At 39.7% G+C, this 16,801-nt stretch overlaps 1 protein-coding gene across 1 annotated transcript in view; it reads left to right on the top strand.

The window, feature by feature from the left end:
• The window catches only part of EXT1 (exostosin glycosyltransferase 1), a 317,337-nt gene that overhangs the window by 282,167 nt on the left and 18,369 nt on the right, over positions 1-16,801 (top strand). The window contains exons 5-8 of the mRNA NM_000127.3: positions 7,063-7,195; positions 9,866-9,984; positions 11,130-11,225; positions 16,699-16,788. Of these exons, the coding sequence (NP_000118.2) occupies positions 7,063-7,195; positions 9,866-9,984; positions 11,130-11,225; positions 16,699-16,788 (438 nt within the window). The remainder of the gene's footprint in view (positions 1-7,062; positions 7,196-9,865; positions 9,985-11,129; positions 11,226-16,698; positions 16,789-16,801) is intronic.

Raw genomic sequence — 16,801 nt, 5'->3', positions numbered from 1 at the left:
GGAGGTTGCAGTCAGCTGAGATTGCACCATTATACTCCAGCCTGGGCAACAAGAGCAAAACTCCACCTCAAAAAAAAAAAAAAAAAAAAAGAAAAATATATATAATGGCCAAGTAAGGGCAAATCCTCTACCATTCCAAAAATATGAGTAGTTTTCTGGGCACCACAGTCCAATGGCATTGCGGGACAGCAGAATTCTCAAGACTTAGGCAAGCCAGCCAACCAGCGTCAATGTGGCAAAGTTGTGTTAAGAGGAGAATCAGGATCATACCCATGTGGCACAGAAAGTGTTAAATTTGTGAAAGCAGAAAATCTTTTAGGCAGATGGGCGCCCGTCCTCAAGTTGCTTTTTTTTTAAGGCAGGACGGAAAAAGAAAAAGGAAGCATGGAGATGATTAAAACCTTTGGAAATAGAGCAGATAGCATTGGCCTGAGGCTACACCGAAGTAGCACAAAGAGCTAGGAAAAGATTCAGGAAACTGCACACGCATGCATTACAAGCTTGAAGAAAGGAGAGCAGAGATCTTCGTTGAGGTGATTCTGAGGTGTCCCAAAATGAGGTGGGGGCATTGTGGCCTTCCTTTTGGAGAATTCACTCTGGAAGAGTGATGACTGCTCTAAAAGCTAATGTAATATGGAACCTACACTGAGAAATCTGAGTAATACCAAGAAACTGAAGTCACCCTACTTGGTCCACATCGCTGTTTTCTTGCCATCCTGACTATCAGAGCCAGTGCTGGTCATGCTCCAGGCACACCAGGGCATTTATCCACCCCATGCTGAGCTTGGGCTCCTGCTCCCACCCTAGGGCGAGCTCTGGTCAGTGTTCTCTTAGGCATAGTGTGTATTTTTTTCATCCTGGAACTGGGTAAAAGGGGCTGTTTAAGACCCAGGCCCATTCCCATGAAGGGGACAGGATCATAATGACTTCCAAGGGCTTCCTTCCTGCAAGCAAACTTTTATCCCTCCAAAAGCAATCTCCTCAATTAAAATCAATTGAGTTGTTACCTCTGTTCACAGTAGCTAATAGAGTTACCCTTTGCTTTTTTAATCCTGTCCTCCATCTAAGATCCTTCCTAGGCCCTTCTTAAAGAATGTTGAATGTTATTGTTTCTCCCTTTTTGGAGTGCAGAGTGCCTTTCTTTTTTTTTTTTAGACAGGATCTCACTCTGTCACCAGGCTGGAATGACCTTAAGCAATCCTCCCACCTCAGTCTTCTGAGTAGCTGGGACCATGGGCGCGAGCTACTGTGCCTGGCTAATTTTTCATTTTTTGTGGAGACAAGGTCTCGTTATGTTGCCCAGAGTGGTCTTGAACTCCTGGCTCAGGCAGTCCTCCTGCCTCGACTACCCAAATTGGTGGGATTAAAGGAGTTATTATTAAAGAAGTATACATTCATTTTAGAAACTAATAGAAAACACTTAAAGCATAAAATATAAAATAATTCATTCATGTAAAACCACTATTGATATATATATCCCCACAAACATATATATTCATTTTTATATGTAAATTTAAAATTTGTTGTACTTTTAATTTTAAAAAGGAGTCTTTATATACTTGCATTGTAACCTGTTTTTCTGCTTAATAATGTTAATATTTTCTCATGTTATTACATTTTTTCTCCATTTAATGACTATATGATATTCCATTTATGATATCATCTAATTATTAAATTAATCCCCAATTTGGGTAGATTCCAGTTGTTTCTGGCTTTTTTCCTTTATGTACATCATTGCAGTAAATCATCTCAAGGTCAAATTATTGTGCAGATTCAATATTACTTCCTTAGGATAAATTCCTTGAATTTGAAGTCCGTTTCAAATAATATGCCAAATGTTAAGATTTTTTTTTTTTTTTTTTTTTTTTTTTTTTTGAGACAGAGTCTCACCCTGTCCCCCAGGCTGGAGTACAGTGGCACCATCTCAGCTCATGCAACCTCCACCTCCCAGGTTCAAGCATTTCTGAGGCCTCAGCCTCCCAAGTAGCTAGGATTACAAGCATGCGCCATGGAGATGGGGTTTCACCATGTTGGCCAGGCTGCTCTCCAACCCCTGACCTCAAGTGATCTGCCTGCCTCGGCCTCCCAAAGTGCTGGGATTACAGGCATGAGCCACCATGCCCAGCCCCAATACATTTCTTTCTTCAGTGTTTTCTCATGACGTTTTTATGTATCTTTGGGTTGTTTCTGGCCTTTCAATTCTATCCTATTAGTTGTTTACCTCTAATACATCCAGAGCACATTCCAGTGTTTTAATTTTTTTTACTCTATTATGCATCCTATTGTGAACTTCTATTTACTTAAACCAATATGCCATTATTTACTATTAATGTTCTTTTTATTTTTTATAGATAACTATATCTTTATCTAAGCAATGACTTTCTACATGTATCTTAAACTACATCTCTATTTCTTTAGGATGGAATCCCTGAAGTGATTTTAATGAGCCAAAGAGCCTAGGCATTTCTAAGGCTTATAATATATTTTGCCAAATTATTATCCAAAAACATTATATCCACCTAGAATCTCACAAGCTGTCTGGGCGTGACTCTCTTTTGCTGTGCTCTTGTCAGTCTTACAGATCCATAATTAAAACACACACATCTATCACTTTGCTGATTTGCCAGATGAAAGATGGTATCTCATTAATTACATGTCTTTTGCATATGGTTTATTGCATGAATATGGTCTCTCACCTATTAAGTTAGCAGTTCTCAATTTTTCTATTGTAACAGTTGAATGTCTTACATTCATCAGAATAGGATCAAAATAAGATCAAGCTGTTTTCATCTCTGAACCTGAAAAGGCCTTTTCCCTTTGTATTTAAACCATGTATTATTATTATTTTTTTTTAGCAACACAGTTTTGGGGTTTTTTTAAACACTAAAAACCATACACTTCATTCGAATTTATAGCAACTGTCAAATCTCTTTATATAGTTCCAAGATTGGATTGTAACAGTTTGACCTCTCAACCAAGTTGCATGACAGGTACTACCCAGTTTCCCAAAATACTTCATAACTCAGATTACCCCAGAATTCAACATAATCAAAAAATCAGGGGAAATAGAAGAAAATGCCATCCACAGATACAAATAACACAGCAAATGTGTTTATAAGAACAATTTAAGTATCACGTATCAAAGATGTGAACTTGGCTTAGAACTTAGATAATATACTTCATTTAGTCACTGCTGGAGCTACTAAGGCACGAGAATAATTCATAGTTACTCACAGTTACAGCATAGAGTTGAAGATCCTGGGCTAAGGATGTTCTGTACTCAGACTCTAGGTCTTTCTCCTTGCTTGGTATATTCTAAGCCATGGGAATGGGATTATGGGGTCTTCAGCAATTATGAGCCCTAGAGTTGTAGGTAGAGTGCTTAGACTCAGTTGAAAACAGGACATCTCATTTTCTCTTCAATGCCAGGGTCAGGTTGTTAGTACGTTTCATTGTACAGAACTCTGTCTAGGATTCTTTTAGTTTTTCCAGTTTGATTGAAATTCTCTAATGCTGCATCTTGGTAATAAGGAGCTATTTAATCAAACTAGGCTCTGTAGAGCTCAGTACTTTTGTGAAAATTGAGAACTAACAATGAGGACAATGAAAAAACACTGCAAAAACAGTGCTCCTTCATGGATTCCATTATTTGTCAGAATATTGCACAATAACCTGCACTAAGGATTGAATCATTGGAGCTTAGTCATAATCAAGATGAGTGAAAGAAAGTGCCTGAGATTATGATAATATGTGAAAAGAGCCAGTGGTAGCTAGGAAGGTATATAGTTAGTGGAGTTTTAATGAAGTATGCTTCATTTTCCTCCTCAGTTATCTAATCATGCACATACGAACCATAGTATTGCTGATGCTATCATACAATGATATTTAAAAATCAATGGGGTAATGGAAATAGACAATTGATCTGGCTTCAAGTGAGGTGGCATATGGTGGCATCGTGTATCTTAGGCTACAGTGCTCTGGTTAAAAGATGAAGGGCTACATAGAATGACTTTAACCTATAACCAATTGTCCATTATTTGGAAAACAGAGGATACATAAAAGTAAAATAAGGAGCCTGTCATTCTTCCCTTTGAATTCACATCAATTAGAAATATTGTCCTTATCGAGGGGGCCATCTAGGACCATAACAAAAAAAGTCTTGTATTATCTGTTTGTGTATGTGTGTGTGTGTATTGATTTTGTTTATAGCCAAAGAAGCATCCAACCTCTAATGTGATGTCTTCTTCCACCACAATAAAGACTAAGCACTAAGTGCCATGAAAAGATTCTGGGAGCTATCCAGGGTAGTGATAGGAAGAATTGCAGAGGGAAAAAAATGATCTTTCTATATGGTGAAATGAATTCCATATTTCTTTATGCTTTTAGAAGGCAAGTTGATATAAACCTTTTAGAAAGACACTTGGCAATACTAATGAATAGCCTTAAAAGTATTTATACCCTTTGACAAGGTCCTACAGAATCAATTCTGGTCTGGAGCGGTGGCTCACACCTGTAGTCCCAACACTTTGGGAGGCCGGGGAGAAAGGATTGCTTGAGCTCAGGAGTTTGAGTCCAGCCTGAGCAACATAATGAGACCTTATCTCTACAAAAAATAAAAATAAAAAATTAGCTGGGTGTGGTGACCCTCTCCTGTGGTCCCAGCTACTCAGGAGGCTGAGGCGGGAGTATCCTTTGAGCCCAGGAGTTTGAGGCTGCACAGAGCCATGACCACACCACTGCACTCCAGCCTGCGTAACTGAATGAGACCCTGTCTCAAAAACAAAAACAAAAACAAAAACAAAAAAAGAAAAAGAAGAAGAAGAATAATCAATCCTAAATGTGGAAAATTTTATTCGTAAATATGTTCATTGCTTTGCATGGAAAAAATTGCTAAACTGGTCATTAAGAATAATGAATCATGAATACTATTAATATGTAAAAATAGCTGTATTATGTAATATCTATACTATTACCACTATGTAATAAATGGAAAAACCAATGCCTAGAAAACGAACACAGGAGTGAGTTTCTTTTTAAAGGCAAAAATCAAGCCTTAAGTATAACAACTTAGGCAGCTATTCTTAAATTCTGAGACGTTGTTATAATTAATGTGGTATTTTATTGTTTTATTACAAATGAGGAAAATAATACACAAAGGTGGCAAATTGCTTGACCCACGTTAAATTCAACATTTGCTACTGCTTTCGTACCTGTCCTATGTCTTTCTGTCAAGATCCGTTGGAAGACAGTATAAAATGCTTGTTGTTATTTCAGAAGAGTGCTATATCTTATTATCATATCTTTGAATTTTAAAAGATAACAATGTTGTGATGCCGAACCAAAAAGATAGTCTATGACAATGACAAGCATACCATCCAAAGACCTGATGGGAATGATGACCCATTTTGTGACAGCTGTGAGTTCCATGATATTTGTCTGTAGGTTCGATTTATAATGCTGTCTATTGTCAATTTATTTTCTATCTTGATATCCAAACTTATTTAAGTGACCACATCCTAAAAGGTACATAAATTTGAAAAGAAAAAAACAAAAAAAGGAGGATCTAAAGAGAAACTATAAAAAGGAAATAAATAGACAGTACGTTTGGAAAGTACAAATAATAAAAAGCAGGAATAAATGTTGTACAAAGTGAAATTGCTAACCATGTAAAAAGTCCTTCACAACTATGACAATTTTCTCATAATTAATGCCAAGACAACAGCATTTTAACATATCCCTGTTGTACCACAAAAAGTAAAAATAAATATTTTCACTAGGTTCCTAAAGTCTCCACCAAATTAGAAACCTCTATCCAGCCATATAAAATTAGCAGTTTTGATCTGGGTGAAAGATAAGATGCAGAAATCATTGAACTAAGATATTTGAGTTCTTTTGAATTTCCTCCTTGCTTCCTTCTCTGTCATTAGGAAAATAAACATAAGATTTGCAAAGATAAATGTAGCCCACTTTATTACTTATCTAGTCACCATGTGGAATGAGATGAGGGTGTTAATAACCTTAGCAAATAATAAAACTCCATTTAAAATAGTCTGTACTTAAAATCACATTGCATTAAATGGAGACCTGGAAAATGGTGATTTGGGTCTTAAATGTCTTAAAACTTACGGCAGGATTTTTTTCTTTTTTTTTTTTAATGTAAAAAAAATTGCTGAAAACATAAAATTCTGTACCAAGTTAATTATTTGCCAAATCATATTCTAATGAGTGGATGGTATAATTGTAAGAGTTTGAAAGTCACAGAGAGAAAGCTATAAAGTGGACTAATCACATTCAACTGACAAATGATTCGGGATGGGAGGATGTTTGACTCTAAATGTAGAATTTAATGATCTGCAAGGTCCCAAAGTCCAAAGAAACTAATGAACTAGCTTGGCTATTATTAGTCTTCATATGCCATGGTTCTTGTCCTATTATGTAGGATGTTTTAAGCAATTGTTAACTCACTACTTTTCAAGATGAAATATAGAAAAACTTCAGTAACCAGCACCCAAAGTCCTCCAATTGACTTTGAAAGGAAAATGAAATATGACAAGTATACACATCTACCTCTTGAATTAAAGGAACAGCTGAAAACCTCAATAGCTTCTAGAATGTGTCATGTCTTGAATATGCTTTCCGTTTAGCATCTACAGGTCTACATTGACCTCTCTTGTTCTCTGAGAACAGATCTTCTTGATAGGGGCCTGGAACCTATCTTAGTTCTTAGAAGTTTAACCATCAGGGAAAGACTAACTGCTCCACACAGTCTATTTTGGAATGAGCATGGACTCATTATTATACAAAGACAAGATAGAACTTATGGTTTAACTGAAGTTTAATTAGGAAATTTGATTGGCTATAATTCATATGTTTCTCTCACTCTTTTTCATTGCTCCATTACTCTCTCTGTCTTGCAGACATTTTTATCCGGAGAATTAAAGTGGGAGGGAGGGTAGAGTCACTACTCTGACTGCCACCATCTTTCGAATTTGGATTGAGCATCATCCTTTCCAAATATCATCAGGATCTCATCCTCACTGTGTGCTATGTTTTATTTTCTAGATTATTCAGGACAGAATATTCAAGCACATATCACGTAACAGTTTAATATGGAACAAACATCCTGGAGGATTGTTCGTACTACCACAGTATTCATCTTATCTGGGAGATTTTCCTTACTACTATGCTAATTTAGGTAAGTGAATTTCCTCCAGGGAGTTGCCCTTGTTTACCCTGAAGATGTCATACAGAACTAAAGGCCTTTATTCTTCTACTCTAATGGGGTCCATCTAACACCCTGCATTGAAGATTGCTTTTTCTAGAGCCTTGTTATAAGTGACATATCAAGTTCAAAAACAGAGCAGAGCATTGCAAAATGGAAAAAAAGAAAAACTTCTTATCTGTGCAGCTCTACTTCATATTTAGTAGAGTTATTTCTTTTTGAGAAATAGGCTCCCCAAATTATGGATCATTTTGAACATGGCAATGGGTTAGCTATCATTTTAAGCCTCATCATATATAAAATGGAGAGCTCTCCCCAATTTTTTTTTTCACAATCCCAATATCTCTATTCCTTACCAAAGAAAAACTGAATAAGAGGAAAGGAGAAATAACTAAGAATGTGTGACAAGCACAAATTTATTCATTTTTCCAAGGTTTATTATGCTCCTTCTATGTGCTATGCTAATGTATTGCTGGGTACTAGAAATAAAAAGTCAAATAAGATACAATCTCTGCTTTCAAGCGGTTTTCAGTCTAATCACAGTAGGGAAAAGGGAATGGCGGAGGGATAAATCTCTACCACCGGCTACTGTTATTGCCTTAGACATTTATGTATTTGGACCCCCAGTTGCTCTCATGTTAGAAACATCATGAACATTTCCCATCAGTTACAGTTCTAAACTTGAGAAAGCCTAGGACAGGAAAGCATCTTCCAAGCTGATACAGCAAAAAGACAAGATTTTCCATTCAGTGCCGTTGTTCTCCGTAACACCCTCACCCTTTTAAGTTGTACATGTTTAGTTTGAAACTGATGAGATGAAACCTAAAGAAATGCATGGCCTGAAGCATCAACCAGTGACAAAGCACCTTTTAATCCAAACCAAACCTGTTATGGGAACCATCTCTAATTCAGTATATTGTTGACATTTGGGTAACAGAATTTAGAAATTGTCAGATTAAGGCACTGGTTGACAAGAATTTCTGTATATTTCTTGTACAATATTTAGATCTTCCTTTGGAGTTAGCACATTAGAGGTGTATAAATGATGCTTCTTAAACTATTGCAGGAAAATTTAAAGACAATGACTTGTCGTTCCTGTTTAAAAGGCAATCCCTCAATCACGCTTATTCTTCTTACTCGGCAAAACTTTGAATATGTATCTAGATATTGGGAAGGTTAACTTCTTTCTAACATACAATTAAAGTGCTGCTGGATGATATAATTTTCTCTACAAAACCTTTGTATAATCCTGTAATACACATATAGTCTGATTCTAGCCTTTATCCCATCAGTATCAAAGCGTAACTTGAATGTCCCTGCACTGTGTTGCTCGCAGTTAAGCCACTAAAGTGCCAAATTAGTGGGTCTAAACTAATGAAGTTTTAAAAGGCTCTTAACCTGTCTCTAATTTCTTAGTGAGTTCTTATGGGAAAACTCCTTGGGGGGAAGCCATCTCACTTCTGTCTCTTTGGTGACAGTGGTTGTTTTGCATATCTATGATCCTTTTTAACCTAGGGCTTCAGAGCTCACAACTGGCAAAAGTCTGCCTCACATACTTTTTTTCTCAGCTATATCACTGCTACACGAAGAAGAGATTCTGGGAATATGGAGGCTTCTTCTCCAAAATAATAATGTTGGTGAGGGTGATGATAATGGTAGCTGCTGACATATATTGAGTACTTGTCATTTGTTAAGTCCTGTTCTAAGTGCTTTGTATGCATTAAGTTTTTTTTTTTTTTCTAAGACGGAGTCTTGCTATGTTGCCCAGGCTGGAGTATAGTGGCACCATCGGCACCATCTTGGCTCACTGCAACCTCTGTCTTCAGAGTTCAAGCAATTCTCCTGCTTCAGCCTCCCGATAACTGGGACTACAGGCAAATGCCACCATGCCCAGCTAATTTTTGTATTTTTAGTAGTGACGGAATTTCACCATGTTGGCCAGGCCGGTCTTGAACTGCTGGTCTCAAGTGATCTGCCCGCCTCAGCCTCCCAAATTGCTGGGATCACACGTGTGAGCCACCGTGCCCAGACAAACTTACTGAATTTTCAAGATAACCCCATATTTGGCACTGTTACTATCAGGTCTGTTTCCCAGCTGTGGAAACACAGAGGGTTAAGTAATCTTTCCAAGGTCCCCCGACCAGTAAGTGGTAGATCTGGGATTCAGACCTAGACAGTCAGGCCCTGGATGCTCTTCCTTTCACCTTTTTTCCCACTAGCTAGTTATTTGAAATACGATTAGTCAGGTAGAACCCTTTCATTACATAATTAAAAATCAGACACATGCAAATACCATGGGAGAGACAGCACATGAAGGGTGGTGAGTGTTGTGTGTATTTGGACACTGGGTACCTAAAAAGCCAAAGGGACATCACAGAAACATCACCAAGAGGGGCAAAGGATGTCAAAGCAAGAACCTAGAAGTGGACATTGATCTGGAATTTATTGAGGTCTCTAGACTCAGGCAGTAGCTAACCAGCAGCTTTTCATCTTGTTTCTGTCCTGTCAGGACATAAGAAGCAAAGGAGAAATCATCCAGGAGGGAACATTTGCTCCAGCATGAGGCAGCGGAGCAAGGAGGAGTAATTTTCTAAGTCTTGCTTTCCAGCGCTTCATTAGGCTCTACTCTCCTTTTTATTTCAGGTTTAAAGCCCCCCTCCAAATTCACTGCAGTCATCCATGCGGTGACCCCCCTGGTCTCTCAGTCCCAGCCAGTGTTGAAGCTTCTCGTGGCTGCAGCCAAGTCCCAGTACTGTGCCCAGGTGAGCGGGAAGTTGACAGAGAAGCCCCTGCCTGCTCCAGCTCCAGACCAGAGACTCCGCCCTCCTTACCTGTTATCCCCCGGGCTCCCCAGGCTCCCCGGGACTTCTCTAACATCATACCCTGCTACTCCCTTTCATTCATCCTGCCTCGTTACACCCTTTTCATCCACTTAGAAATTCTTGGAAGTGAAATCTGCACAGGGAAGGGATGGGTTACAGAGAGACCTTAGCACTGGTATAGAGTTAAAAAGTATATATACATACACCAACATAGTCTCTAAAGAAGATACAAGCACATGATTTTGTTTTTAAATGTCAAAATGATAAAGTAACATCCAAAAAGCCTCTGGGAGGACCCAGACAACTAAGCTTCAATAGAAGAAGCAGACTTGTTGGTGTCATGAAGTGTCAACTTTTCTTTTCATAGCAACTATGACTAATTATAAAATTGGGAGCAGACGATTATGCCTATGGTAACAATATTTTCCAAATCAGTGTTCCTCCCATATTGAACGGTGGTTTTTCTGATTTGTGAATTAGTTTATACAAGAAGGTTTACAAACAAGGAAAGAATTCAATAAGGAAGTATGCATTTTTGAACTAAATGCCTTTATTGGAAATTATAAAGTCACATAAAATCAGCAACCATTCTAGAGCATGCAAAACATGAGCTCATCTTAGTTCTAGCTTGAATTTTTTTATTTCTCCCACATTGCCTGGTGTAGTGCAAGTTCAGAGCAGATGTTCAGATGCTCAGTATACATTTTTATTTAATTTGATCAGAGTTGTTATCTCACACACCATCATAAGATATCAGAATTTAGGAAACCACTTTATTAAGCTCCAGCCACCGTAATTCTTTTTCCTGCAGCTTTCCCCTATTCCCGGACACAGTTGGTTTTGTTTGTTTGTTTGTTTGTTTATTTGTTTGCTCTTTCTGTCCTCTCTCCAGTTGTTGGGGTGATAATGTTCTGAGGTTGTGTGGGAATGGACTCACTTTAAAACTCAGTTTTGATGTCTGCCGTTTTGTCTTGCTGAGATTTCCAGCTCCTCTTTCTCTTTCTGTCTCTGAGAAGAGGCTTTGGGTTGGAGGCATACATAAATACATCCTACCCCAGCCATCTAATGAGCCCCATCCCTTTCAGATCATAGTTCTATGGAATTGTGACAAGCCCCTACCAGCCAAACACCGCTGGCCTGCCACTGCTGTGCCTGTCGTCGTCATTGAAGGAGAGAGCAAGGTAAGACTCGAAGGGGACCTATATGTGGAACCACTGTGGAGCCTTGGTTTCTCCATGGGGCACTTTGGGTCTTGGCCCTAGATATCTTCTCCCTGTTCCTGGATTATTTTTTCTAAAACTGTACTTTTCTCAGAATATTCTCAGATTTGACCACAATAGGCTTTCAAATCAGGGAAATCTGGGTCTTGATACCAACTCTTTTATAGCTTTGTGACCTTGTGTGTATACTTAACCTCTATGAGCCTCAGTTTCCTCATCTACAAAGTGGAAACAATAATATATACCTTGTAGGGTTGCTGTTAGGATTAAATAAAGTCAGGAGCTGGCAATAGTTATCTTTCTGTAAATGACAAAGATGAAGATAAAGCTGATGGTGGTGGTGATGGTTTGCTTGGCTGATTAATCTGAATGAGCTATGTCTATCAGAATGGTGTTTCTTTCTCCCATTCACTTTAAAAAGGACATTTTCACCTTAATTTTGTTTGGCATCTGCCTGTAAAGATTCTCATGAGTGCTACATAGCCGGCCTCTCTTCTGTTCTCCAGTTCACTTTGCCTAGAGCTGAACTATCTTTCTGATCATCTCCCGGCCTTTTTCTCCATTTGCTAGTGCTTCCAATTAACATTTGAGGCCATGTGTAACCTGGCCCTAGCCAGCCTTCCAATCTTTTCTCTCATTGCTTTCCCCTACAGACCCTGCCCCCTACTACATTTGATCATTTATAATTAGCTGAATTGCGCTGTGTCTCTTCCTACCTCTAATTTTGACTTTGCCATTTGTAAGTCTTGACCACCCCTCAACTCATCATCTCTGCTTGTCAACATTCCCATATATTCTTTAAGCCCCCGTTTGCATGCTACCTCCTCCTTGAAATTTCTTCTACTAAAGAGCAGCTAGCTCTTTTTTCTCTAGCTTCTGCTTGTTACTTATAGATCTTACGCATTGTGAAGGAAATAGTCACTACTAAATGAAATTGAGATTGGTGAAGCAGTGCCATCTAAAAAACTTTCCTTGTCAGTCCCCAAGGGGTCAGGTCATAAGAGAGTGGCTCACACCTTTGCGCCAGAATGACAAAATCAGTTTATTAGGCTGAACCATTTGATATCATCATCGACTCACCAAAAGTGGCAATTTCATATGGTTTGACATAATGCAATTGTAACTGTCACAAGGACAAGATGATCAGTGCATTATCTATTCAGTTCCATTTATGAGTGCCTACTGTGTGCTGAGCTCCTTGTAACAGGCTTGGAACACAGTGGGGAATGTGACAAATATAGCCATGGCTCTCATAAGGCTGGAGTCAAACAACCTGTTTGTTAGAGAGCTGCTTGGTAAGCATTTAATGAGAAAAGGTGGATGTTGGAATAATCACATGCCTCTCTCACAAATCAATCTCACCATAAGCACAGTTTCATGCAGGCCCTTATATCCATCCCCCCCATAGAATAGCCCATCATAGGAATGGCAGTGTTCCAATTCCAATGCCTGAAGCCATGAACAGTACTCAGAGGCAGGCAGTTAATGTTGAACTTTGGGATTCTTTGTTTTGTATGCTTCCATGGGTCAAGGAGACCAGCTCTGCTTCTGGTGGATAATGTCTTTCTTTGGATATGTCAGGATATTCAGACACAATCCAGTCTGTCTGGGAGCCATTCTGATTTCTTTAGGTAGTATAGCATTTTCATGCTCTGACTCACTGATTGATTTTATATTTTCATTCTCAGTGAAAAGAAACTCCCCGTTTCTTTCTTTATAAAATGGTGGTGATAATAATAGTACCTTTCTCGTGGGCTTTATCAGATGTCTCTTACAAGATGCCTCAGATCCTCCCAGCTGCATCTATATTCAGGCCCCTGGCATTTGTTCAGTCCTTGCCTCCACCTTGGGCACTGAATCCAGTGGGCTGGGTTCTTCCTATGTCTTTTCCCTGACTCTCAGTGCCCTGGGATTGCACCTCAGAGTGAAGCGTTTGCACTTAAGTCTTGCTTCAGGCTCAGTATTCTAGAAAACCTGGGCTATGACATGGGCCCATTTTGAGGGTTAAATAAGACCATTCCATATCAGGTGCTTAGTCCTATGCATATTATACATGCACCAAGGGTTCAATAAATGTTAGCTCCTCTTCTGGGAGGCATCATAATCTTATGATTTGTATTATGGGCTCTAAAGTCAAAATTACTTTTGTGTGACTTAAAGCAAGTTGCTAATCCTCTGTGTCTCGATGCCCCCTTTCAATAAATGGAAAGAGTCATAATATGTAACTAATAAGGTAGCCAAAAAGATCAGATTATATGAGATACATAAATAAATGTACTGAGAAGTGTGGGCGCACTGTGGATACTCAATAAATCTTAACTATTATTGTGTTTTATATAATTATTTGTGTACATTTCTTATGTACCTCCCTCCCCACCCCACACACACACACTACAAGACAGTAAACTTCTTGAGTCTTGGTCATTTCCTAGGCATGTTTGTTAATTTTTTTTTTTTTTTTGAGGCAGAGTTTCGCTCTTGTTGCCTGTCCAGGCTGGAGTGCAATGGCATGATATCGGCTCACTGCAATCTCCGCCTCCTGGGTTCAAGCGATTCTCCTGCCTCAGCCTCCTCAGTAGCTGGAACTACAGGCATGCGCCACCAAGCCTGGCTAATTTTGTGTTTTTAGTAGAGAGGGGGTTTCTCCATGTTAGTCAGGCTGGTCTCGAACTCCCAAACTCAGGTGATCCACCGCCTAGGCCTCCCAAAGTGCTGGGGTTACAGGCGGGAGCCACTGTACCTGGCCAACATGTTTGTTCGTTTTAAAGGAGTTGGGCTTTCACATGGTAGCTAAACCTTTCTTAAATGAACTAACAAGGAAAACCCAGTTCACTCAGGTTTAACTTTGTAAATACATTGGTTTCTCTCATGCTAATCCATTTAAGAAGGTCGCTGAGGCAATGTGTTTGAAAAAAGCCTCTCATTTCTGCATGAGAATTCGAAAATGGATGGCTTATGGGCTTTTTACTTCTGTTGATGAAACAGGTTCAGAAAAAAAGGAAACAGATCCTTTTAAGACCTGTGGTTGGGCAGATGATGAGGAAGAAGCCCTACATCTTCCTCATTCTCCATTTTAAAATCTCTATCTCCATGAATTTAGAAGCAATATATTTGCTGCTTTGGCTGAAAAATTCTGTTTTGAATTTATAGGCGTTGTCTTTGCAGTTTTCCCCTGTGGGCTTAACAAGGGAAAGGTCAGGGCAGTGCTAAGCTGGCAGCTAATGGTTTCTGCGTTAGTCAGTGGACATGTAAACAGTATCAGGAGGATTGCTTCAGGCTGAGAATTCTGAGCACTGTGTCTATGAGGTTGCTGATCACTTTGTGTTTTATTTCAAAAGCCTGAGAAAGAAAACAACAACAACAAAAAACTTGACCCAGTTGACAGATGTGTAGGAGCAACCCCTGAAGCCATGTGTGCTACAGCTATGTCCCTTGAGCTCTTGGAGATGAGTTAGAGTGGCCACTGTCCATGCATTAAAGTCCTAGGTGCTCTGGTAGCTTCGCCGGCAAAGAAACCGAGTTTGAGATGAGGCCTGCAGATGAGCTGGCTCCTAGGGGTACTCAGATTTGGGGAGACTGCAGCTCTGGCAGCTGGCTAGGTACCTCCCTTTTCCTCTTTCCCTTTGTCTGCAGTGTTAAGTTGCTTCTTTCCCTGGCCTTTGTCTCTTCAAAGTTGATGGCAGGTGTGAATTCAGAGAGGATGTCATCATCCTTACTATAACTTCTGGAAGAAGGTGATGAGCATATGATTGGCATATGTGTTCCTAAATTCACTTTTGAGGTCCTTTCCATTCAGATACAGCCCGGTGGCCAAGGTGCTCTATAGAGTCACACCATCTGGGGGAAAATCCTGGGTCCGTTTTGGGCAAGATACTTAACCTGTGTATCTCAGTTTCCCTCCCTGTAAAATGGGGTTGTTATAAAGATGAAACACGATGATATATATGAAGGACTTGCAACATATCCTGGCACACAGTAAATGTTCAAAAAATGTTATTCTTATGGTGTCAGCATTCTTATGGTTAGTTCCTCTATGGTACATTCAACACAAAGGTTTAAGTTGTGACTATCACAGGGTAACCTCTCCACCCTCAATTTTTCCAGCTGATGCCATAATCTCCAAAGCCCCCACCACACACACACACACACACACACACACACCACTGTGTGTGCACACGTAGTCCACCTTTCCTTATTCCAGAACTGCCCAAACTTTATGCATACACCACCTTCACAATTTTTCTAAATCCATGGATCATATGTGCTATTATTTAATATTTTTTCTTCTTCTTCTCCTTCTCCTTCTCCTTCTCCTTCTTCTCCTCCTCCTCCTTCTCCTCCTTCTCCTCCTTCTTCTTTCTTCTTCTTCTTCTTCTCTTTTTTTGTTTTTGAGACAGAGTCTCACTCTGTCACCCAGGCTGGAGTGCTGTGGCACCATCTCAGCTCACTGTAACCTCTGCCTCCCGGGTTCAAGTGATTCTCCTGCCTCAGCCTCCCAAGTAGCTAGGACCACAGGCATGCACCACCACACCTGGCTAATTTTTGTATTTTTAGTAGAGTCAGGGTTTCACCATGTTGGTCAGGCTGGTCTTGAACTCCTGGCCTCAAGTGATCCACCCACCTCAGCCTCCCAAAATGCTGGGATTACAGTCATGAGCCACCACGCCTGGCCTAATATATTTCTTTAAATCAGTATACTTCTCATTTTAATGAAGTTATTTGTAACTTTAATATTACCTTTGATTGCTGTAGCTGCTAATATATGTGTATATATTTTTTCTAATCTGTGCTAATACATATTTTAATTTGTAAATGTTTGTAATTTGTAAAAGCAGCACTTTCTACAGTGATCTGCTCTCCCCGTGGTTTGTGTCCACACTTGGAATCACTTCTCCATCCATTCACTCTTTCGGTTGGGAAGAGTGGGTGTCAGGATGCAGGTTCTCTGCTCAGTGCCTCTGCATCTGCCAAGTCTTGTCTTTAATACTTCATTACTATCTATACCTGGTGAATTCTTTCTGCCCATCAGGGTCCTGCTTAAATGTCACTTCTATGAGGCCTTCACCTGCTCTTCCAGACAGCTAGTTGCTCCATCCTGTGGTCTCCTGGCATTTTTTGTATCAAGCAAAGACTGGTCATCTGCTTCTTGGTCTCCTCTACAGACCATGAACTCTTCAAAGACAGGGAACATGTCTGATTTATCTTTGTACCCTCTTTGACAAGCAAGATGTCTGCTACACAGTAGGTGCCCAATAATTGTTGAACAAATACATCTGCATTGATGGGAAATGAGATTCCTTCGGTGTTGAGGGGTGACATGATAGTAGCGCATTCTTTATGCAGGTGAGGATGGGAGAATTGTCCTGAAAACAAGACTCTGAAGTTACCTCTTTCCCTCATTCCCTCCCCACTGCCTACTTCTACTTCCTCCCAGGTTATGAGCAGCCGTTTTCTGCCCTACGACAACATCATCACAGACGCCGTGCTCAGCCTTGACGAGGACACGGTGCTTTCAACAACAGAGGTAAGAACCCATG

Source organism: Homo sapiens, chromosome 8 (genome assembly GCF_000001405.40).
Source record: "Homo sapiens chromosome 8, GRCh38.p14 Primary Assembly".
Classification (NCBI taxonomy): domain Eukaryota; kingdom Metazoa; phylum Chordata; class Mammalia; order Primates; family Hominidae; genus Homo; species Homo sapiens.
The sequence above is the reverse complement of the archived record's forward strand: the minus strand, read 5'-3'. Positions and strand labels throughout refer to the sequence as shown.